The sequence below is a fragment of the Homo sapiens genome, chromosome 20, assembly GCF_000001405.40.
Source record: "Homo sapiens chromosome 20, GRCh38.p14 Primary Assembly".
NCBI lineage: Eukaryota > Metazoa > Chordata > Mammalia > Primates > Hominidae > Homo > Homo sapiens.
Genome location: NC_000020.11, coordinates 38,318,302 through 38,340,526, shown reverse-complemented (window position 1 = coordinate 38,340,526; position 22,225 = coordinate 38,318,302). Strand labels below are relative to the sequence as shown.

The window sequence follows — 22,225 nt, the reverse complement described above, 5'->3', positions numbered from 1 at the left end:
TCAGCATTTCCAAAAGGAACCCCAGGAAGGCTGTGCTTATCCCAGAAGGGAAGCTGCTCTGATGGTGAGCTTTTAGGCAGTTTGGAGTGAACAATTCTTTTTTTTCTTCTTCAATTGTCTTTTGCCACTTTATTGACATATATTTCATATACATAAAATTCACCCATTTAAAGTGTACAATCCAGAATTTAATTTTAGAACATTTTCAACGTCACCCAAAGAAACCCCAAACACACATTTGCAGTCATCTGCAGCAGACAATGCTTAGCCTGAAGGGAGAAGCTGCTCAAATAGTGGTTCTGTAGCCAACTTGGCAGAACCTTTGGAGTGTGTTGGGGAATGCTGCTCAAACCCTAACCCCCAAGCAACTGCCTTTCCTCAGCCATTAGAGAGAAGTTCGCAGGCACAATGTGTTTCATGCACCAATCTTCAGGTCCAAGAAAGATTTAGGTTGATGGAAAAGTAATTATTTTTTTTGGCATTAAAAGTAACGGCCAAGACTGGATTCAGTGGCTCACACTTGTAATCCCAGCACTTTGGAAGGCCAAGGTGGGTGGATCACTTGAGGTCAGGAGTTGGAGACCACTCTGGCCAACATGGAGAAACCCTGTCTATATTTAAAAATATATGTACACAAAATATTAGCCGCGCGTACTGGTGTGAGACTGTAATCCCAGATACTTGGGAGGCTGAGGCAGGAGAACGGTTTGAATCCGGGAGGCAGAGGTTGCAGTGAGCCAAGATCACACCACTGCATTCCAGCCTGGGTGACAGAGCGAGACTCTGTCTCCAAAAAAAAAAAGTAATTGCGGTTTTTGCATTAAAAGTAATGGCAAAAACCGCAATTACTTTTGCACCAACCTAATAATTGCATTTTTTTTTTTTTTTCTATAGAGTGTGGAGCAGGGGGTGCCTATATGTTACAGAAAGTAGAGGGCAGGTGTAGAAGGGGGTTAACTCCAAAGAGAATGAGGGTGGGGGATGGCAGGTGTGTGTCCATATCTACCAGCTAGTCTCCCCAGCAGCCAGAGGGCTCTTTTACAAATGTGAATTGGATTGTAACATTCTTCTGCTCAAAACTCTCCAGTGGCTTGCCTTATCTTTTGGAACAAAACCTAGAGCCCTTAACAGTCCTCATGGCCTCCCAGTCTATCCCACGCTGTGCTTCCCTTCTCTCTCTTCCTTCCGCCCTTGCTAGCTGCTCTTCTGTTCTATTCAGGGCCTCCATAGCCCCTGGCTAGTGGAGAAAAAGATGCATACTACTGGTGGACAAATTAGAGAAAGACTTTTGTTTCCTCAACCTGGTACAACCTATGTTTTACAGTGTACAACCTATGCCACAGAACAAAGAAGTTCTGCTTTAAACGTGCCAAGTCCCCCAGAACAGACAACATTTTGACATCGGGGAGGAGCAAAAAAAGCATGGGCTCTGACATGTGGGAATAGATAAGGTGGGAATTCCAACTCTGCCACCTGCTGGCTATGTGATCAGGGAAGGGTAACTCAATTTAAAATGTTTGAACAGCTGGGCTCGGTGGCTCACCCCTGTAATCCCAGCGCTTTGGGAGACCCAGGCAGGTAGATGACCTGAGGTCAGGAGTTTGAGACCTGCCCGGCCAACATGATGAAACCTCATCTCTACTAAAAATACAAAAATTAGCCAGGCATGATGGCACATGCCTGTAGTCCCAGCTACTCAGGAGGCTGAGGCAGGAGAATCGCTTGAACTTGGGAGTCAGAGGTTGCAGTGAGCTGAGATCGTGCCACTGCACTCCAGCCTGGGTGACAGAGCAAGACTCTGTCTCAAAAACAAACAACCAAAAAAGTTTGAGCAATTGCCATCTTGGGGGATGAAGAATGCTATCAGGATTAAATTAGATCATTCATGCCCTTTGCTTGACTCCTGAGAGTGTTTGATCAATGGCCCTCCCTTCTTGTGTGGCCCTAGAGCCTTTAACTCCATTTGACAGAGAATCAATGATGTCAGCAGAAGTGTGTACATTTTTCTTTATAAATAAAATAAATACCTTTTATCTGCTTTTGCTCGCTACAAATGCTTCTCTTCAATTTTACCATCACCAATCTGGTTGAAGCTTGAATAACAACACATTCCTAATTTGTGCTCATCCCTTGCCCTCTTGTCCTTCTGATGCTTTCAGAAGTCACAATAAAACATTTTAAAAACTAAATCTGGTCATGTGGTCCCCCACTCCACCGTCTGCATCGAACTCCTCCAGTGTGTTGTTGCTCATCCTTATGGTCTCAGAGCACATGTCAGCAGTGTAGAAAGGCCTTCCAGGACTCCTCAATCAATCTGAAGTACAATCCATAAAACCCCATCTCATGGGCTGAGATAGCCCCCTCTGATGTCCCATGGCAGGAAATGGCCCAAAGCCCCCAAGGAAACTCCCCAGAATTCCAAAGACAGTCTGGGTTGGTGATCTGGCTTCCACACTAGAGCTGGGAGAGTCATGGGGAAGTGCTAATTGCACCCAAAGATGTGACTGAAGCAGAAAACCCCAATGGACTCTGTCACCTGGCCCATTGTTCTGCTTTTGGGGACAATGGCTGGGCAGGAGAACATGGATGAAACGGGGAGCCCAAGTGTGGGGCAGGGAAGGTGGGCTGTGCAGGCTAGCTTTTCAACAGCGACACCGTGTGGTAGTGACGGGAGCAACAGTCCTAGTGGACAGGTGACTACACAGGACAATGGGCTGTGCAGAATGACGGGTCAACAGCCACACCATGTGGTAGTGGAAAGAACAACAGCATAGTGGACTGACCCACTCTCCAGACCCTCTCTGTGTGACATTAGGAATTTGGACTAAGAAAATCACAAGGACATTTGGAACAATGAGACTTTCTGTTAATGGAGGCTGTGGGGATTCCAGAGATTAATTATAGAAATAAAAAGAGATGATTGTATCTGTGCTGTAAACTGGCACTGCCGGCCACATTGGTTACAGCCAATGAATAATAAATAAATGAACATAAAACAAGAAACAATACCAGCACACAGAATCCACATGAAAAAAACCAGAAGTTTTTTTTCATGAAGCACAAATGGAAATTTCTTGGTTACAATTGAAACACGATTCCTGGAGGAAATATCTCTGCAGCCTTAGCCCTTGAAAGAAGCTCATAATCCCTAAAATACACACCATGCACTTTTCCAATGAATAATGTTTCCTCGTGTTTAGATCATTTCTGAATCTGAGTCGAAGAAGTTTGCAAGGGGCTCTTGGTTAAGATCTGGAGAGGATTCCCTGGGGAAAGGCAGCCGGTGCCCCACAGCCCATCAGGAACAGGTGTGGCTGACAGCCCCCGGCACCCCTGGTGCCTTCATTTATAGACAACGTCTGCACCGAACAGCAGGAAGTTCTAGGGAGAGATGAGAATGTTGTCACCAGTTGAAGATGCACCCCTTGTTTGTGAGTGTGGAGCTACTGGAGTTTTAAGAAGGACATTTTGGGAGCCTGCCTCTTAGGAAGGAGAAAGGCAGGGCCAGTGGGGGTCACTCAGTGTTTCGCTGCCCGGATCTACACATCCACAGCTGCCAACATCTGCGAATCTGTCAGCAGCTTCCCTGGAAGCTGCCTCCTTCTTAGACACGGAGACCCCCCGGGCTGTTTTAGAGGCCTTCATTTGTCGTCCCTGCCTCATGGCAGCTCAAGGGAGTGCTTGTTCCAATCAAGGCTGCAAAACCACTTCTCTCTGCTTCTTTGTGTCCTTCACTCAGGATTTTTAGAAATGAAGAAATTAAATTGTGCCATGGGTCATTTTTTTTAAAACACGAACTTGGTAAAATGTGAGGAATATGCGGTATGTGTTTCCTCTGCACTCTTGGTTATTTTTCTACAGTCTCTCAGCCCCATTAATTAGCTCCCTGGTCTAAAGAATTGAGGATTGATGGCCTGGACATTGGGGGAAAGGGAGAGGGAGGGATCTGGGTGATGCGAGGCTCCCCAGGAGGGCCACAAGTTATCAGGAAAGCCTTTGACCAAGGTGAGAAATGCAAGCTGGGTGACGGTTTCGCTGCGGAGGTGACAGCTTTGTGGGGACATGCTGGGTTTAAGAGGCCTCAGGGTGGAGACATTGAGGGAGCCTGCGAATGCACAAGCTGAGAGTTTGGAAAAAATAAAAAGACTGGAAGCATGTCTGGGACATTGGGTGGCACGCAGGTGGCAGCTAAGCCTGAAGAGGTTGACAAGAGTGACGAAGGCTTGCCAATGGCGGGGGAAGAGAAGAGGCCTGGGGAGGGGTCCTGGAGATCTCCAGCTTGCAGAGAAGGGGCAGGAGAACAAGCAGAGGAGGTGGCAGGTAGACAACCAAGAGCTAGGGGAGTGCTGGAAACTAAGAGAAGAAAGCATGCCCAGGAAGCGCATCAGTGTCAAATGCAGACGGAAGTCAGCCTGGGCGAAAGCCACGAAGGAGACTTCTGTGCTGTGTCTAAATCTGCCAGACGTCGACCACATGTTATACCCCACAGTGCCTAGTATGATGCTGGGTGCAAAAGGTGTGCAACATATATTCGTTAAATATTTAAATGCACCTTAAAAAAGAGGCTCTTTGGCCCACAAATGCATTTCATTTTTGCCGAGTGTAGCGTGGGAACGATGCAGTGATGGTTCAAAGCCGGGAGCCTGGCTTTGAATCTGGACTTCATTTAACACTGTGTGGCTTTTCTGAACCTTGGTCTTTCTTTGTTTTTTAACAGCACCCACATCCCAGAGTTGTTGTAAGGGTAGAAGGCGCTTCACACAGGGCTTGGCATGCAGGAAGCATTGCAGCCATAGGCTGCTGTTGGTCACTATCGTTAGGGGAGATTTGTGGAAAAGACTCCGGGACTCACCTGGTGAGGCTGAAGCACTACGTTGTAGAGCTGGACTCTGGCCGGCGTCGGGAGAGGGAAGCCTTTCTGTAGTTTCTCTGTGACAGAGACCGATGGTGAGGACCAGGAGAAAAGAAAGAGAAGGGCAGGGGAGGAGGGAGGGCCAGAGAGCCTGGGTAGACAGCCTCCCTGAACCAGCATGCCTGGCCCTAGGTAGGGACTGGCATGGGCATACATGCCTGAAAGGAAGGCTGCCCCAGAGTCCGTACCTCCCACCTGTTGTCCATCAACCCCAAGTCCACTTCTAGCACCTGCGTGGACTCCATCCCCATGATGGCCCTCCTGAGGGTGCAGCACTGCTGGTATACACTAAACCAAAAATCTGCTGCTTGCAATGGTGTGACTAGAGCGTGGTGTGTAATAGGGGTATTTATGCATGTGAGCATGAAACCCCTCAACATTTAGGATAAAGCCAGAGGTGGACAGTGGCCAGGGCAAGCCCCCCACATACTGCCACATTCTGACACGGAACTTTGGAGAACTCTAAATTAGAACGTGGCCTCCCAGGTCATTACAAAGCTACATTTGTCAAGGTAGGAGGACAGATCCCAGGACTGATGTATCATATTTCATATGATAATTTGTTGGATTAATTGGTAAGTTCTAAATATCCTAGTCACAGGTTATATGGGCCTCTATTAGTACTTTTGCCCCTCACTCTCAAAGGTCAGGGGCCGGCCTGCCTGAAGCTCTTACCAGCGTGGTGATCTAAGCTCTGGGAGGGGTTATCAGGGAACCCCCTCATCCTGCTTCCAAAGTTGGAAAGAGACCATGGGCTTTGTTTTCACTGCTAGGATCAAACCCATGCCCCATCTCTTGCCTGCTCTGTGACCTAAGTCACTAAACCATTCTGTTCTTCCGCTTCCTGCCATAAAAGTTGGAGATGTTAATAATCCTTCATCTCATGGGGGTTTTGTAAGGACAAACTCACGCAATAATGAATCAACCCATGTGTAGTAAGTCAACTCATGTGAGTTCCTTTTTGTTGCATTCATTTCTGGGTCAGATGCCATTTGAAGTTCACTTGACATCACCACTGCCCAGCCCTCATACCTGGGGCCAGGTAACAGGTGGCTGTGGGTAATCAACCCCACCCTCTTCCCCCATGACTGAAAATGAATGGTTTCTTCAAAGTTCCTTACCGTTAACCCTGGGCAGCACAAGAATGGGTACAATGTAGTTCATGATATCCTGCAGCAATTCAACCTGGAAATCAGAGGGAGGATGGGAGGATGGCCCTGCATCGCCAGAACCTTGCGGGTCCAGCAGTCCTCATCACCCCACCTCTGTCACCCTCCTTTCCCCTAGCGCTGCTCAGCAACCGCGCAGTTGGGAAAACTGCTGAGAGGTGGACGCAAGTGATATGTGAATACTTGGCAGCCCAATCAAGGTCATGGAAGTGGTTTCTTTTGCTCCAATGGTTCCAGATGTAAAGCATGTTCTCAATTGTAAGGTGCAAGGCCTTACAACTCACGACAATCATGAGGAAGCTCATCAGAGAGTATTTAAATGGGAAAAGCTTAGCTTAAAAAATGAGTCCTCTCAGACACTGCAGTAAGAGGGCAAATCAAATCAACCTCTTTGACGGCTATTTGGCACAATGTTCTTCCAAAGCCTGTGTGTGCCTGGTTGGGCTTGGTGGTTCATGACTGTAACAGCAGTGCTTTGGGAGGCTGAGGCGAGAAGATCACTTGAGACCAGGAGGAGTTCAAGACCAGCCTGGGCAACACAGCAAGACCCGTGTGCCTTTTGGGCTAGCAAACATGCCTCTGAGGAATTTATCCTAAGGAAATAATGTAGGGTGTAGGAAAAAATGTGGATGCAAGAATGTTGACCAAAGCAACAAATTTATCCAAAACAATAAATTAAAAGCAATCTCCATGTCCAACAATAGGGGAATCACTTGGTGGAAAATGGTAATACTTTAATACAAGGAAATATTATGCAACTGTTAAGAATGATATTGTAGAAATGTAAGTAACAACACAGACATAACCATGATATGTTTTTGAGTGAGGAGAACCAGGCTATAGAAATCACATCATTCCATTTTTTAATTAAATAGGCATAGCAAAAGGTCAGGAAGGATATACTCCAAATTATTAACTAAGTGATGAAAATATGCATGGTTTTTATTTTCTTTCTTTTGCAAATCTGTAGGTTCTGATTGCCCTATAGTGCATATATTTTTCTTTGGCAATAATAAAAAAAATTAAAAATAGTGTAAAACCCTCAAGATGCTTGCCTGTAGTTGTGACATTTACAATTTGTAAATATATACATTTTTGTTTCTGGAACAACTGAGTCTCTTTTCCTGGCCTGTTATTCCCTGGCCTCACCAAATGCAGTGCCCTCCTTCCTATGAATCCTGGGAACTTAAAATTTCTAGTTTCTACAGAAGTAGAAATTAGTTATGGACTTAGTCAAGCCACCAAGAAAGCCTTGGAACCAGTAAGTCCATGAAAATACAGTGAGGTTGCATTTGGTCCTTTCATTTGGAATCTCATTTGGTAGAAATGGCTGGCTGGATTTTTATCAGATTTGAAGGGGACACTGGGACGGTATGACTTTGGGGTTGGAGGGCTTACAAGGCACTCACTTGGTGGGGAACTTGGGGGCATCTCGGGAATCTAAGGAAATGTTCTCCAGAGCAGCAGAAACTGGGATTCAACCAGAGCCCACCAGGAGATTCAGGTCAATGTAGCAAGACGCTGGACAGGATCAGCAGACTGCAGCTTCTGACGTTAGACACAGGGCAGGTGCTCTGTGTGGCTGGTGTTGAACAGCATGGGCGACTACTTACTACTAACAGGGGCAACTCGTCATCAATGCCCCTCGTGAGGGCAGTAGCGGCAAATCTACTTAATGATGAGCAGTGATTCCTGGGCAGGCGAACCACCTACTTGAGCTGGGTTTCTCCCTGCTCTTCCCTCTCCTACCAGCCCTTTCTCCATGTCAGTACGTAGCTCTGCCATTCATCCAACTGCTCCACCCAAAACCCTAGAAGTCACCTGGACAATCCTTTCCCTCACCACACAGCCATGAGGGAGGCTTCTGTGCTGTGTCTAAATCTGCCAGACATTGACCACATGTTATACCCCACTGTGCCTAGTATGGTGCTGGGTGCAAAAGAAGGTGTGCAAAATATTCATTAAATATTTAAATGCACTTTATAAAAGAGGCTCATATCTCTCACTAAGGTCTCTCTAAATCTACTTCCAAAATATATCTCCAATCCACCATCTTTCTCTTCTGCCTGGCTGAGTCCCAACCTCCAGCATCTCACGTGGACAAACACACCAGCCTCCTCAATGACCCCTTGTCTGTAATCTATCCCCCCACCCCAGCCAGGGGAAGCTTTTACAAAGGTATAAATAGACTCACAGCACTCCCTGCAGGGAAACAGCGCACCGGCTTCTCACTGCCTGTGCAACACAACAATCTCCCCTCCTCTAGCTCAGCCCGGAAGACCCTGGATGAGCTAGCCTGTGCTTGCCCCTCTGGCCACATCTCTTCCGATGCCCCCTACTTGCTCTGCTCCAGACACACAGGCTCCCTTCATTCCCCAAACGCACCAAGCTTGTCTCTACCACAGGGCTTTTGCCCCTGCTGTTTCCTCTGCTGGCTCCTTCTCCTCCTTCAGTCCAAACGTCACCTCCTCGGAGAGGCCCTCCCTGATCACATCTTCTGACTCTTCATTCTCCCTCATCACTTTCCGCCCATCCCCGCTTTGGTTTTTATAGCTTTGATTGTGACTGAAACGATCTTCTCTCTCTTTTTTTTTTTTTTTTTGAGACAAGATTTCACTCTGTCACACAGGCTGGAGTGCAGTGTAGCATGATCTTAGCTTGTGTAACCTGGAACTCCCGGGCTGAAGCCATCCTCCTGCCTCAGACTCCCAGGTATCTGGGACTACATGTGCATGCCACCACACCCACCTAATTTTTATTTTTTATAAGAGATGAGGTCTTGCTATGTTGCCCAGGCTGGTCTTGAAGTCCTAACCTCAAGCAGTCCTCCTGCTTCAGCCTCCCAAAGTGCTGGGATTATGGACATGAGCCACCATGCCTGGCCTTTCATTTCTTATTGTGCTGTCTTCCCACTGCCATGTAAGGCTCTGAGAAGGCATCACTTCCCTGTCTGATGCATCAGCCTACCCCATACTTGGAAGAGTACTTGGCACATAATAGGTGCTCAATAAAGTAATTCATTTGTTCATCCAACAAACATTTGTTGAGCAGATTTTCTCTACCAGATTGTGCATGTTTAATCCCATTTAAACCATACTACACTCACTCAGGTGGGGAAGGTCTGGAGTTCAGAAAAGGGAAGTGACTTGCCCAAGGCCTCACAGTTAGTAAGTATGGAGCAGGGATTCTGGCTCAGGTCCCTCTGCCCACGAAGCTCCTTGAACTATTAATTCACAACCAAATTAAATGCAAATGAGCCAGTAGCCTCTTAAATAATGCCTTGAGCCTATGACATGTCCCCCTCCCCGCCGCCAGGTCAGAAGGAGGAAGAAGCCACCAAGGGCCTCAGACTCACCGGGAAGGGGCCAATATTTGAGTGCTTCAGTTCCAGGAGCAGCCTGTGAGAGGGGGAGGAGGGGACTGAGACCACCAATTGCCTGACTAGCATGAGAACCCAGTCTCTAGAGAGGAGAGACCCACTCTGGTGGATACTGTCTGGTTTTCCCACCCAGTATCCACTCCCCTTCCACGGGTCACAGCCCCCCGATGTTGCCTTTGGAGAATTCACACATTCCCTGCATTGTTAGTGCCGTTGACCCCACACTGAGCTCTGGGCCATGCTGACCAAAGGGCATAGTCCACTTCTTCTGCTACAGTCATTGCTGCAAGGATGTACCTCTGACCTATGCTGGCCCAATGAAAGTCAGTCCCAGGACTTCTGCTGGGAATATTGGGAATAAGGTATTCTCTTTTCTCTGGGAAAATAAGGAAGCTCCTGGTGACTATTTTGCCACCACTTGGTGACAGCCTGCTGGGCAATGAAGCCAGCACAGAGGATAGCAAAGCCAAGAGATGGAGACAGATTCCTAAGGATATCATTTGAGCACCTGGGTCTTTCCTTGACTGAAAGCCTTGGATTTTTCAGTTACCTGAGCCAATATACTATTTTCCCTTTAAGGCCTTTATGACATTTTTAACAGTGATCTCAGAGGAAGGGGGGAACATATGGCTGTTTATTGAACCCCAACCATTCATTAGCTGTATTGGGCGCTCTATCCCACTGAATACCAGTAACATTACAAGAGGCAAGGGCCATTACTCTCATTTTTACAGATGAGGAAACATACTCAGAGATCAAACAATGGTCCAAGGTCACACAGCTAACAATTAGCAAAGCACGGTTTGCTTTTTTTTTTCTTCTTTGAGATGGGGTCTCACTAGCTCAGGCTAGAGTGTAGTCACAGCTGCACTACACAGCAAAATCACAGCTCACTGCAACCTCAACCTCCCTGGGCTCAGGTGATCCTCCCACCTCAGCCTCCCAGGTAGCTGGGATTACAGGGGTATGCCACCAAGCTCAGCTAATTTTTAAAAATTTTGTTGTAGAGACAGGGTCTCACTATGTTGCCCAGGCTATAATAAAGCAGAGTTTTGGCCAGGCACGGTGAATCATGCCTGTAATCCCAGCACTTTTGGGAGGCTGAGGCAGGCAGATCACTTGAAGTCAGGAGTTCAAGACTAGCCTGGCCAACATGGGAAACCATGTCTCTACTAAAAATACAAAAATTAGCCAGGTGTGGTGGTGCGCACCTGTAGTCCCAGCTACACGGGAGGCTGAGGCAGGAGAATTGCTTGAACCCGGGAGGCAGGGGTTGCAGTGAGCTGAGATCATGCCACTGCACACCAGCCTGGGTGACAGAGCAAAACTCTGTCTAAAAAAAAATAAATAAAATAAAGCAGGGTTTCGAACAGGGCTCCTTGAAGGCAAAGCCTTGGTTGTCTCCAACACTGTACAAAGCTTAAAAACTTGCCCTTGCTCCTCAAGAGTCAGTAGCCCCAGGATTTCTGCTCCGTGGATTCTCATACCCTATCCCCATCCCCTGCATATTCCAGAAAGCCTGTGCTCAGCCCACACCCAGCTGTATCCTCTCCAGCTCCTTTACTTTAGAGGCCCATGGGTGTTTAAGAGAAATTAAATCTATACGTTTCTGAAGCAGTAATGCTTGTCAACATGATGCCAGGAGAAATGAGTAGCACATAAACCTCTGGGGCTCGTCTCAAGGTGAAGAAGGACGACTTGGTGCCAGGGAGAGGGCGGGACTGGGCAGGGATGTGGGTCAAGGCGGCGTGAAAACAGCGCAAATGTGCTGAAGAGGCGGGTGCCAGGTCTAACTGCGGGGGGCCATCACATCTGCTTGCATATGGTGTCTCTTTCTCTCTGCCCCCCGACTCCCTCCCTCTGTTTCTCTGAGTGTCTCCCTCTTTCTCTACCTTTCCTTTTCTACATCTCTCCCCTCCCTTCCTTCCTTTGTGTCTGTCTCCTTCTCTGAGTGTCACTCTCTGTGTCTCTGTCTCTTTCTCTATGTCTGAAACTCCCTTTCTGTATTTCTTTTACTTTTAAAAATCTATTTGTTTATTTATTTATTTATTTATTTATTTAGAGACAGGGTCTTGCTCTGTTGCCCAAGCTGGAGTACAGTGGCTGGAACATGGCTCACTGCAGCCTTGACCTGCCAGGCTCAAGTGATCCTCCCACCTCAGCCTCTCGAGTAGCTGGGACCCCAGGCATGCACCACCATGCCTGGCTAATTAAAACAATTTTTTTTTTTTTGGTAGAGACGAGGTCTCACTATGTTGCCCCAGCTAGTCTTGAACTATTGGGCTCAGGCGATCCTCCCACCATGGCCTCCCAAGGTGCTGGGAGAGAGGCGTGAGCCACCATGCCTGGCCCTGTATTTCTCTCTTTCTGCATTTCTGTTTCTCTTTCCCTCTTGCATATTGAGTGTTTATTCTATCCCTGGAAGTGTTCTAAACACTTCAACACATATTAATACCTCATTTCAGCTCACAATAATGCTGTTGGCAAAGTAATTACTGGGCTTATTTTTTATTTTTTGAGACAGAGTCTCACTCTGTCTCCCAGGCTGGAGTGCAATGGGGCGATCTCGGCTCACTGCAACCTCCACCTCCCAGGTTCAAGCCATTCCCCTGCCTCAGCCTCTCCAGTAGCTGGGATTACAGGCACCTGACCATGCCCAGTTAATTTTTTATTTTTAATAGAGACAGGGTTTCACCATGTTGGCCAGACTGGTCTCAAACTCCTGACCTCAGTTGATCCACCTGCCTCAGCCTCCCACAGTGCTGGGATTACAGGCGTGAGCCACCGCGCCTGGCCTTACTGGGCTTATTTGACAGTCGGAGAACTGAAGTTGGCAGCGTTTTGGTGCTTGCCAAGGTGAGCCACACTTTTAACGCAGGCAGCCTCATGTTGGGGCCACACTCCTAACCACAAACTCCCTTGCTGGGACTCAAATCAGGGCCATGTGGATTCCAGAGTCTCCCAGCAGAGGATGGTGGTTAAAGTCCCAAGGATGGGGTGAGAAGAAGTTGAAGCGGGATCTCCTAGTGTCAAGGAAAGCCAGGGACGTGCAGTGGCTGCATGCTGTTGTGGTTCAGTGGGGATCATCAGCTGACGCCTCCCAGCCATGAGGACTGGCCATATCCCAGAACACAGGACTGTCACTGCTAGAACCGGGACATTTATGGGTAAGCTGAGATGGTTGGTCACCTACAATGTGTGACCTCGAGCAAGTCACTTTTTCTCTGAGCATGAGTTTCATGGTCTGCAAAATGGGGATACTGTGGCCATCGCACACTCTTTGAGGTTTTAATGTGATGAGCCAACAGGAAAACAACAATGCAGTGCTTCTGTATATCACAGGACCACTGTCATCCCACAGACACCAAGGACAGAGGGGCAGCCCCCTCCTCCTCTCACAGGCCCACTTACCTATCCAGCTTGAGCTCTCCAACAAGCCTGTTGGACTCGGCGCTGACCTCCATGGAACCAGTTGTGTGCTGCCAAAACAACAACCCAGGGTGAAGTGCCCTGACCCAGGCACCTGATTGCAAGGCCTCCAAACCAAGAAGGGTCAGCTTCACAACGGCTCAGCAGGGCAGCATACACTGTGGGGTCAGGCCCACAGAGCCAGAGGAGTGGGGAGACTTCCCTTGGCTTTGTGGCTGTTGAGTCCTAAACTGTCAATTTCCATTTTCTCTCTCTACTTCCAGGACCATTTCAGAGTTCTTGGGCCACTCTCGGAGAGGCTGCATAAGACAGGCCAGCCCCATTCTCACAATCCCTCATTCATTAATTCATTCAAAAAATATGAGAAGGAAGTCCCCGGTTCCCACCTCAGCTGTTCTGTGCAGTCTGTGTGGTCTTGGATGACCTCTTAGGACCTATTCTGTCTGCAAAGTGGGAATAACAGGTCTCAGCTTGGGAGACCCAGTAGACCTGCCTAAGGCCTCTAAGTGCTTCCTGGTGCAGAGAGTGTCTGAACCACACCCTCAGTGGCCATATGGGTGCCACCAAATCTTTGCGGAGTGATGGAGTGATCAAAGGGATGAATGCATAAATCAACAATGGAGTGAAAACTGAGGCAAATGAAGGATTAAAAAATATGTGAATTGAAGAATAACAAAGATATGCATGAATGAATAAATGATGGACGAATAAATGAACAAATATACAAATGAATGATCAATTGAACAAAGGTATAAGTAAATGAATAATTGAATAAATGAGTGCAAGTGGGAATCAGAAAATGTATAACATATTTCAAGTCAACAATCTAATAAATAACTGAATGAATTAATAATTGAATGAATGAACAAATACACAAATGCATAATTGAATGACTAAAGATATAAATGGATGAATTGGAACAGTACACATATTTCAAGCCAACATGGAATGAATAATTGAATGAATGAGAAATTGACTGAATGAATAATTGAATGAATAAGTAAACAAACGCACTAGTGAATGGCTGGGTGAATGAATACCTCCAGGAGTCGGCACCATTGAGTACAGTGACTCAAGCCTCAGGCTCCGGAGTGACACAGTCCAGGTTTGAATCCAGACAGGATTCACATGGTCTCCTGACTCCAAAGACAGTGCTGTTGGGACTGTCTGGGGCTCCTCATCTGTCCAACCCAGGAACTGCTTACCATGCCAATCAGGAAGAGGGAAGCCAGGGAGGAGTTGGGGAGGACGGCAAAGGCCTGGACATCCACGGCAGGGTAGAAGGTAAGGCCGGTGGGCTGCACAGACAGGTGTGGCGGGGTGGAGGCTGAGACATGGATCTGTATCTTCATGTTGGGAAACTTCTTGGCCACCTGCAGCCCCCAGTGGAGACAATCAACGAAAGGAGGAGTTTCTGTTAAAATGTTTCTGAATCCTACCTTGGCCTGCCCCTACTTAAATACCTTCAATGTCTTCCCATTGCTCTTAGAATAAATCCTAAGATTGCACAGTCTGCCAGCTGGCACCCTGCCAACCTCACCACATGTACCTCTGCCTCTTGTCTTCCATCTCTGGCCACATGGAACTCTTTCTGTGCCCCAAACTCAACAAGCTCTCTTGCCATCTAAAATCCTTTGCACTCTCTGTTCCCCATTGTTAGATACTTTTCCTCGCATTCTTCTCTCGGCTCTTTCCCTTCCTTCAGGTCTCTGCAGATGTTACTTTCTCAGACAGCAGTAGTGGCTTCAAGGGGGAACTAAGGAGGGCCTTTGTGACCTTCTTCCCCTTTCTCTTAGTCTCTGATCTTCCCCCAGGTAAACCCACAGTCTGAGTAAAAATAATGTGATTGTTATGCAAATGAAGCTTCAAGACAACACTCCTGGACACCCCTAGCAGCCACACCTCTCCCCCCAACCAGAGCTTCTCTGTATAGAAATTTCTGGGGTTTCACCACCAGAGACACTGCTATGAACAGAATGTGTCCTCCCAAATTCATATGTTGAAACCCTAATTCCCAGTGTGGCTGCATTTGGAGAAGGGCCTCTAACGAAGTAACTGAGGTTAAGTGAGTTCATAACAGTTGGGCCCTGATCTGATAGAATTAGTGTCCTTATAAGAAAAGACACCAGAGAGCTCTCTCCCACCCGCCACCATGCATGCATTGAGAAAAGGCCCTGTGAGGACACAAGAAGGAGGCAGTCTACAAGCCAGGAAGAGAGCCCTCACTAGAAACCAAATCTGCTGACACCTTAACCTTGAACTTCCAGTCTCGAGAGCTATGAGAAATAAATTCTGTTGTTTATGCCACCAGGTCTGTGGCATTTTGTTATGGTAGCCTGAGCAGATAAAGACAGAGGCGTCCTTGACCACCTTGTCTAAAGTAACCTCATCCACCTGTTGGTTTCACTGGTAACAGTCCACACTATTTTTGTTATTGTTTTGGATATCTGGATGATATTTTTCTCTCTCCACTGGTCTGGGAGCTCCAGGAGGGTAGGGAGGTGCCCTATTCTGCTGGGTTCCCAGCACAGGGCCCCAGGCACATGGTGGGCATTCAATAAGAATTTATTGCATGAAAGACCCTCCCTCCACCTCCTGCCAGCATCTACTCCCACACCTGGTCAACTGGGCGCTTGGAGCTTTTCTCTGTTCTGTGGATGAAGCTATTTCCACCCTTTCATGCTGGGTTGTTTCTGGATCTTGTGTGTGTTATGTTGGGTGGAGGGCTCTCATCATCCACTCAGCAAAGCCCTGTCCTCCCAGAACCCCCGGGGCTCACTAAAGGAAAGCAAGGTCTTCCATACCTCAGGTAGGAAGGTTCCAAAGAACTTGGTTGTCAGTCGAAATTTGGACTCCTTTGGAATCTGTAGCAAGAGATGAGAAAAGGATCTCGGAGGATGCTGTTACAGACGGAGCAGAGGGGGTGAGTTCTGTATCGGGGTGAGAGGCTGACTGCACACACAGACAGTGGCCAGCCCCTATGTGACAACAGAGCACTGACCCACAAATTCTGCAGCAACCAGCCTGGAAGCCAAACCACACCTTCTGCAGCAGTTGGCCCAGAATGGTCAGGAGCTGGTCAGTGACCGCCTGCTTGTTTTTTGCTCCTGAGAAAGCCCAATCTGCCTGCAAACCAATCTCATAGGATGCCCCATTTCCAGGAAGTCTGCCTCTGCCTTAGCATGGTGCTAGGACTGGATGACAGAATCTGACAAGTACTCATCAATGTAGCCCTTATGTTTCTTATTCATCACTTCCTACATTCAAAGCTCTGTGTTCGGTCCTCTCATAGACTAATATCTCATTTAATCAGGCATTACTATCTCATTGAATCCTCATGACACCCTTTGGAGAAAGCCAGTTATTGGTGTTTTACAGATGACAAAACAAGTTCTGAGAGGTACAGTAATTGACCTGGGTCACCCAGCTGGAGAGGGGTGGGGCCGATATTGGAACTCAGCTCTAGCTGACTCTAGAGTCAACACTTTAACCTACCCCAATGTGAGAAAAGCTTTTTCCAGATTTGTCTGGAAGGTCTGCAGGATTCTGGGTCCAGTGCTCTTCCCACACCCACCCAGAGCCCGGCCTTACCATGTCATCTCTAAGGGTCATCTTCAAGACCCCAGCCTCTTGGTATACAAGCCCGGCTGTGTTGAAGAAGTAGTCTGAGAGGCCCAGGTATACCATGCGGTCATGGGCAGCGGGAAACTCCATCACTGGTGGAGCAAAGGGAGGTGGATTGTGGTGGTTCTCACTGTAAAACTCCCCCTGGGGGTAGAGGCAACAGAGTGAGCCCAGATATTCTTCAGGAATTATAAGTCAACATCTCCATCCAGGAAAAAATGGACTGAAGACACCAATTGTACACTTGCAAAGGAAAAAGCAATGACCAGAAACTAACAGTAGCATCAAAAGCCTCCTGGGCATTACTTTCTAAGTGCCTTTCATGCCAGTCCTGGGAAGGCAGGTATAATTATGCTCATCTTATAGGAGAGGACACTGAGGCACAAGGAGGTGAAGTGACTTGCCCAAGGTCACACAGCTGGTAAGTGGCAGAGCCAGAAATTGAACCCAGGCCTCCAATGTCCAGTGAACGTTCTCCTAACCACTCCATTGTCTCAACCTCAACCTTGCTAGTAAGCACAGAAACCCTACGAAAAGAACAGTGAAATCCTGTTTGTTTCGTCGGTAAACTTAGCAAAATGGGAAAAGAGGAAAATTGTTTTGAGAGTCGTGTGTGCTTTAAACTGATGCTACCCAGTGTTTGGTGAGAGCACTCATAAGCTGTTAAGGTTGTTCTTTATGTTTCTGAAAAGCAATTTGGCAATATGTTGCAAAAGCAGATCATTTATTTAGCAAATAAATGTTGAGCTTAAAAAACCAAATTATAGATGGATACATATGGTAGGATACCACTTATGTAAAATTTAAAGGCCCATAAAAAGTATAAAAACACAGGCAAAAAGGACACACACCAACATCATCAACATGGTTCTGGGGTGGGGGGAGAGGCACCCAAGGGGGCCTCGTTAGTTATTTCTACAGTTTTTTAAATTTTTTTAAAAATCAGAAGGAAATATGACAAAATGGTAAGATCTCTTAAATCTGTGTGTTGGGTACTTGGAAGTGTATAGCATTCTCTGTACCTTAGAATTATTTTATTACTTAAAATTAACAAACATAACCTCCATATTATGGAATACATGCAACTCTTAATAATAATAAGATGGGCTGGGCACAGTGCTCACGCCTGTAATCCCAGCATTTTGGGAGGCCAAGGCAGGTGCATCACCTGAGGTCAGGAATTTGAGATTAGCCTGGCCAACACGGTGAAACCCCATCTCTACTAAAAATACAAAAAATTAGCCAGGCGTGGTGGCGGGAGCCTGTAATCCCAGTGACCGGAGGCTGAAGCAGGAGAATCGCCTGAACCTGGGAGGCAGAGGTTGCAATGAGTGGAGGTCGCGCCATTGCACTCCAGCCTGGGCAACAAGACAAAACTCCATCTCAAATAATAATAATAAAGATGGACCTATGTACTGACTAGGATTTATCTTTAATACATATTGTTAAGTGAGAAAAGCAAGTGGAAGAACAGTGTGTATCCATTCATGTAGAGCATCAGCAAAATCTAGATGGATTTTCTTATGCATTTATGTGAGTGCTTAGAACCAGGGACCTGGGAGGTTAACACACTCCATGGTTGTCAGTGATCAACTCTGGGCAGGAGCCCAGGAGATAAACAAGACCTTTCTTATTCACTGAGGATAATTACTTATTGTTTTAATCTTTTGGTCTGTTGTATCACTTAGATATATGTGGGTATTCATTTTTTTTTCTTAGTATGCCATTTGGTCTAGCAATTCCACTTCTAGGAAATACTCAAGGATAGACAGAGACACGATTGCAAGGATGATCACTGCAGCTTTGGTTACGTTTGTGGAAAAAAAAATGGAAAGCCCAAGTGTCCCAGGAGGGGGCACTGTCCTCGTACATTACCACAAGCTGTCCGCTGAAAATCCAAGCAGCCAGTAAAGGGCTGCAAGAGGACATTTCATGGATGGCAAAGATGTTCCTATGATACGTGTTGAGTTTTTAAAGTTGTAAAGCAGAATATATAATATGACACATGCAAAATATATGTCTGTGTGTATTTTGTTGTCTATATGTGAGTACATATGTGTGCATTTTTTCCTGTTTCTATATTGTGGGTTTTGTGTGTATTTGTTTTTGTATCTATATATGTGTACATTTGTTTCTGTCTCTCTCTCTCTCTCTCTCTGTGTGTGTGTGTGTGTGTATCTTCCTCTGTTTCTGCAAAGACAAGGGTTGGAGGGATCTACACTTATTTATTGATGATGCTTATCTCTAGGTTGTAGACTCGGGTAATTCTCTCTCTCTCTCTCTTTTTTTTCCTTCTTTCCTATATTTATTTCTGCATTCCTCTGCAGTTTCTAAAGTTTCTTTTTCACATTGAATGTGTTTTGAAGCAAACAAATAACTGTAAACAAACAAGCAAATCACCAATATGGAAGGACTGAAGGAGGCACAATCCAGGATGAATTTCAGAGTGGGACCCACTCTTGCTGGGGTGGTAGGGAAGGCTGCTCTGGGAGTGACAGCTGAGTGGAGATCCACATGGTACTATAAGAAGCCAGCGGGGTAGAGGTGGGCATTGGGAAGGAAAGGAGTACCAGGCAGGGGGAACAGCTAGGACAAATGCCCTGAGGTGAGAGGAAGCTTAACCTATTTGAGGAAGTGTAAGGCCAGTGTGTCTGGTTGGAGGGTGGTGAGTAAGGGAGGGAGCAGCATGAAATAAAACTCCATCTATCCATCCATCCATCCATCCACCCACCAATACATCCACCCAGCCATCCATCTACCCCCACCCATCTACCCACCCACCCATCCATTCATCCACCCACTCATCCGCCTACCCATCTATCCATGTATCCATCCATCCATCCATCCATCCATCCATCCATCCATCCATCCACCAATACACCCACCCACCCATCCACCTACCCGCCCACTCATCTACCCACCCTCCCATCCATTCATTCACCCACCCACCCACCTACCTTTACATCCGCCAATACACCCACCCACCAACACACCCACCTCCCATCTACTTACCCATCCACCTGTCTACCCACCCACCCATCCATCCACCCACCAACACACCCACCTCCCATCCACTTACCCATCCACCTGTCTACCCACCTACCCATCCATCCACCCACCCACCCACCCATCCACCTACCCATCCATCCATATATCCATCCACTAATCCATCCATCCATCCACCCATCCAACAAATAATTTATTGAGCACCTAGTATGTGCCAAGCATTGGTCTAGGTGCTGCACATGTGGTAGTGAACAAAATAGTCGCAGCCCCTTCTCCCTCATCATAGTGAGGGAGACAGACTAGAGACTCTGTGTGTGTGTGTGTGTGTGTGTGTGTGTGTGTGTGTATTGGTAATAAAGCAGGATGTGGGGGAAGAGGAGAGAGCTATTTCAGCGAGAGTGGTCTGGGAAGGTCTCTCTAGGGAGGGAATATTTGAGCAAAGACTTGAAGGAAGCAAGGGAGAGCTGTGTGGAAACCTGGGGGAGAGTACCCAGGCGGAGGAAAAAGCAAGGGCAAAGGCCTTTGGAGGGGGGTGGGGCAGGCATGGTGTGTTTCGGGGAATGGCGGGGAGGCCAGTGTGACTGGAGCAGGGAGAGGCGGGGAGAGTAGAGAGGGTGGTGGTGAGTCAGATAGGAAGTAGGGGACATTGTTAAGTTTGTTTCCAAGGACTGGGGAGCCCTGGAGTGTCTGAGACAGAGGTGTGAGGGTGTATGATTCTCAGTGTCAGCCTCACCTTCATCTGTACATCCAGGGTCTCAGCCGTGGTTGCTGGAGGTGCCACCAGACCATAGTTGATTCCAGCCACAGAATCTATTTTGGTCATTACTAGAGAGAAAGAAAATGGACCATGAGCTGGCTCCCACGGCAGCATCGCTGGAAGCTGAAATGCAGGATCAGAATCCCCTAAAATTGAATCAAGAGCTGCAGTGCAAGTTTCATTCCCACCTTCTCCAGGGAGCTCTCCTTAAGGGAGCTCGCCTTAAGGGAAAATGAACCCACACCCCACATTCACAGACACCCCCTTACTCTCTTCTTCCAACAGCCCTGAGATGAGTCGCTAAGACACAGGGTCAAGGGCACAGAGAGACCTAGGCTTGAACCAAACTCTGGATGACCTTGGACAAGTCCTTGCACTTCTCTGAGCACTTTTTGTCATTTGTAGAACAGAGAGAATCCTAGTGACCTCACAGATGCTGGGAGGGTTTTGAGAGGAGGTGGATGCCCAATGCCCTGTCCATGCAGAGGCTCAGAAGCCAGAGAGGATCATTGTTAGGATCATTGATAATAGACAAGGCTAAGCCCTGGCTGGCTCAAGTCTGGAGAGTTTCTCTGTTTCCCAGTAGTAATCAATGAGAATTAAATAAATATCCCTTTTCTCAGTTAGCAGGGAAGAAACCAAGGCTCAGAAATCCAAGTTGTTCAATGGTTGGTGAGTGATGAAGCTGGCATTCAGACCAAAATCTTTTTCCTGCCTCTTGAGGCCAAACCTTGGGCACTGCAGCTGCATTGAACCTGCCCAGGATGGGCTCCTGTTCTGGAGGAAGAAAATGCCTCTTAAATGGGCATATACTATGTGCCAACCATGCCAGGCTTTACAGCAAGGTAGTCCTGAGAGCAGCTGAAAGCCCAGGCTCTGGAGTGAAGGAAATCTTAGCTCCAGATTTGTATCTTTCTTCTGCCTCTTGATGGCTTCATGACTCTGGACAAGTCTCACCTACTCTCTGAGCCTCAGGTTCCTCATGTGTTTTTTGTTTTGTTTTGTTTTTTGTTTTTGAGACAGAGTCTTGCTCTGTCACCCAGGCTGGAGTGCAGTGGCATGATCTTGGCTCACTGCAACCTCCGCCTCCTGGGTTCAAGTGATTCTCCTGCCTCAGCCTCCTAAGTAGCTGGGATTACAGGCACCTGCCATGATGCCTGGCAAATTTTTGTATTTTTAGTAGGGACAGGGTTTCTCCATGTTGGCCAAGCTGGTCTTGAACTCCTGACCTCAGGTGGTCCGCCTGCCTTGGCCTTCCAAAGTGCTGGGATTACAGGTGTGACCCCGGCCAGGTTACTCCTGTGTAAAACGGGGAGAATAATGCCTCTCTCAGGGGAGTGTTGGGAGGCTGAGAGCGGACAATTTCCTGAGTGCCTGCCACAGTTCTTTGCAGCTTGCCAAGTACTTGGGGGTGAAGATTACTGTCCCCATTTTAAGGACATGGAAACTGAGATCCAAAAAGAAGTGACCAATATCAGATCTCAGGCCAGTCATGTGTCTCTGGCCTCAGAGAGCTGGGGGTATTTTGTTGTTTGGCCCTTGCAGAGCTGAGGGAATGAGGTAGTATGGGCTGTTTGTCCTCCTCACTTCTGGACCTAGCACAAGGACTTGACCCAATGCTAGCTGCCTCTTGAAAATAATGTACTACTCTGCTCATTCCCACCCAGGCCCAGGGCTGTCTGGGAAACTTGCCGGCCCCATCACATCCACCCTGACGTCCTCACCCCCTCCCATTTCTGTTCCTTTCTATCCTTGATCTTCATCCAGCCCTCACCTGGCAGAGTCTGGAAATAAGGTTGCAGCTCGGAGGATACAGAATTGGTCACTTTCTCGCAGACCTGGGGAGAACCAAACAAGTAATCAGTAAGGTCTTCCCATAGTGAAAAATGTCCCTTGACAATAACGGGCCAGATATGCCTTGCTTTCCTTGAATGTTTTCTTGAAAATTA

General features: G+C 47.4%; 1 protein-coding gene across 5 annotated transcripts in view, besides 1 other annotated feature; it reads right to left on the bottom strand.

Moving 5' to 3' along the window:
• Positions 3,022–22,225, bottom strand: part of BPI (bactericidal permeability increasing protein) — a 33,350-nt gene continuing 14,146 nt past the window's right edge. For 2 of the 5 annotated variants that reach the window (NM_001725.3, XM_047440395.1), the window contains 10 exons: positions 22,051–22,114; positions 20,253–20,344; positions 16,481–16,657; positions 15,694–15,753; positions 14,095–14,262; positions 12,872–12,939; positions 9,437–9,479; positions 6,034–6,097; positions 4,853–4,929; positions 3,022–3,381 (listed from right to left, as the gene is read on the bottom strand). In NM_001725.3, the coding sequence (NP_001716.3) occupies positions 3,343–3,381; positions 4,853–4,929; positions 6,034–6,097; positions 9,437–9,479; positions 12,872–12,939; positions 14,095–14,262; positions 15,694–15,753; positions 16,481–16,657; positions 20,253–20,344; positions 22,051–22,114 (852 nt within the window). In that variant the 3' untranslated portion in view covers positions 3,022–3,342. Of the gene's footprint in view, positions 3,382–4,852; positions 4,930–6,033; positions 6,098–9,436; positions 9,480–12,871; positions 12,940–14,094; positions 14,263–15,693; positions 15,754–16,480; positions 16,658–20,252; positions 20,345–22,050; positions 22,115–22,225 lie in introns of those variants that run through there. The other 3 variants (XM_047440393.1, XM_024451972.2, XM_047440394.1) reach the window with 2 other exon arrangements.
• Positions 4,993–6,192: an enhancer, noted in NCBI's record as "BRD4-independent group 4 enhancer chr20:36962737-36963936 (GRCh37/hg19 assembly coordinates)". NCBI's record gives its function as "activates an origin of replication core promoter dependent on BRD2, P300/CBP, MED14 and CDK7 cofactors, and independent of BRD4, by STARR-seq in HCT116 cells {active_cell/tissue: HCT116}" and the evidence as "EXISTENCE:reporter gene assay evidence [ECO:0000049][PMID:35650434]".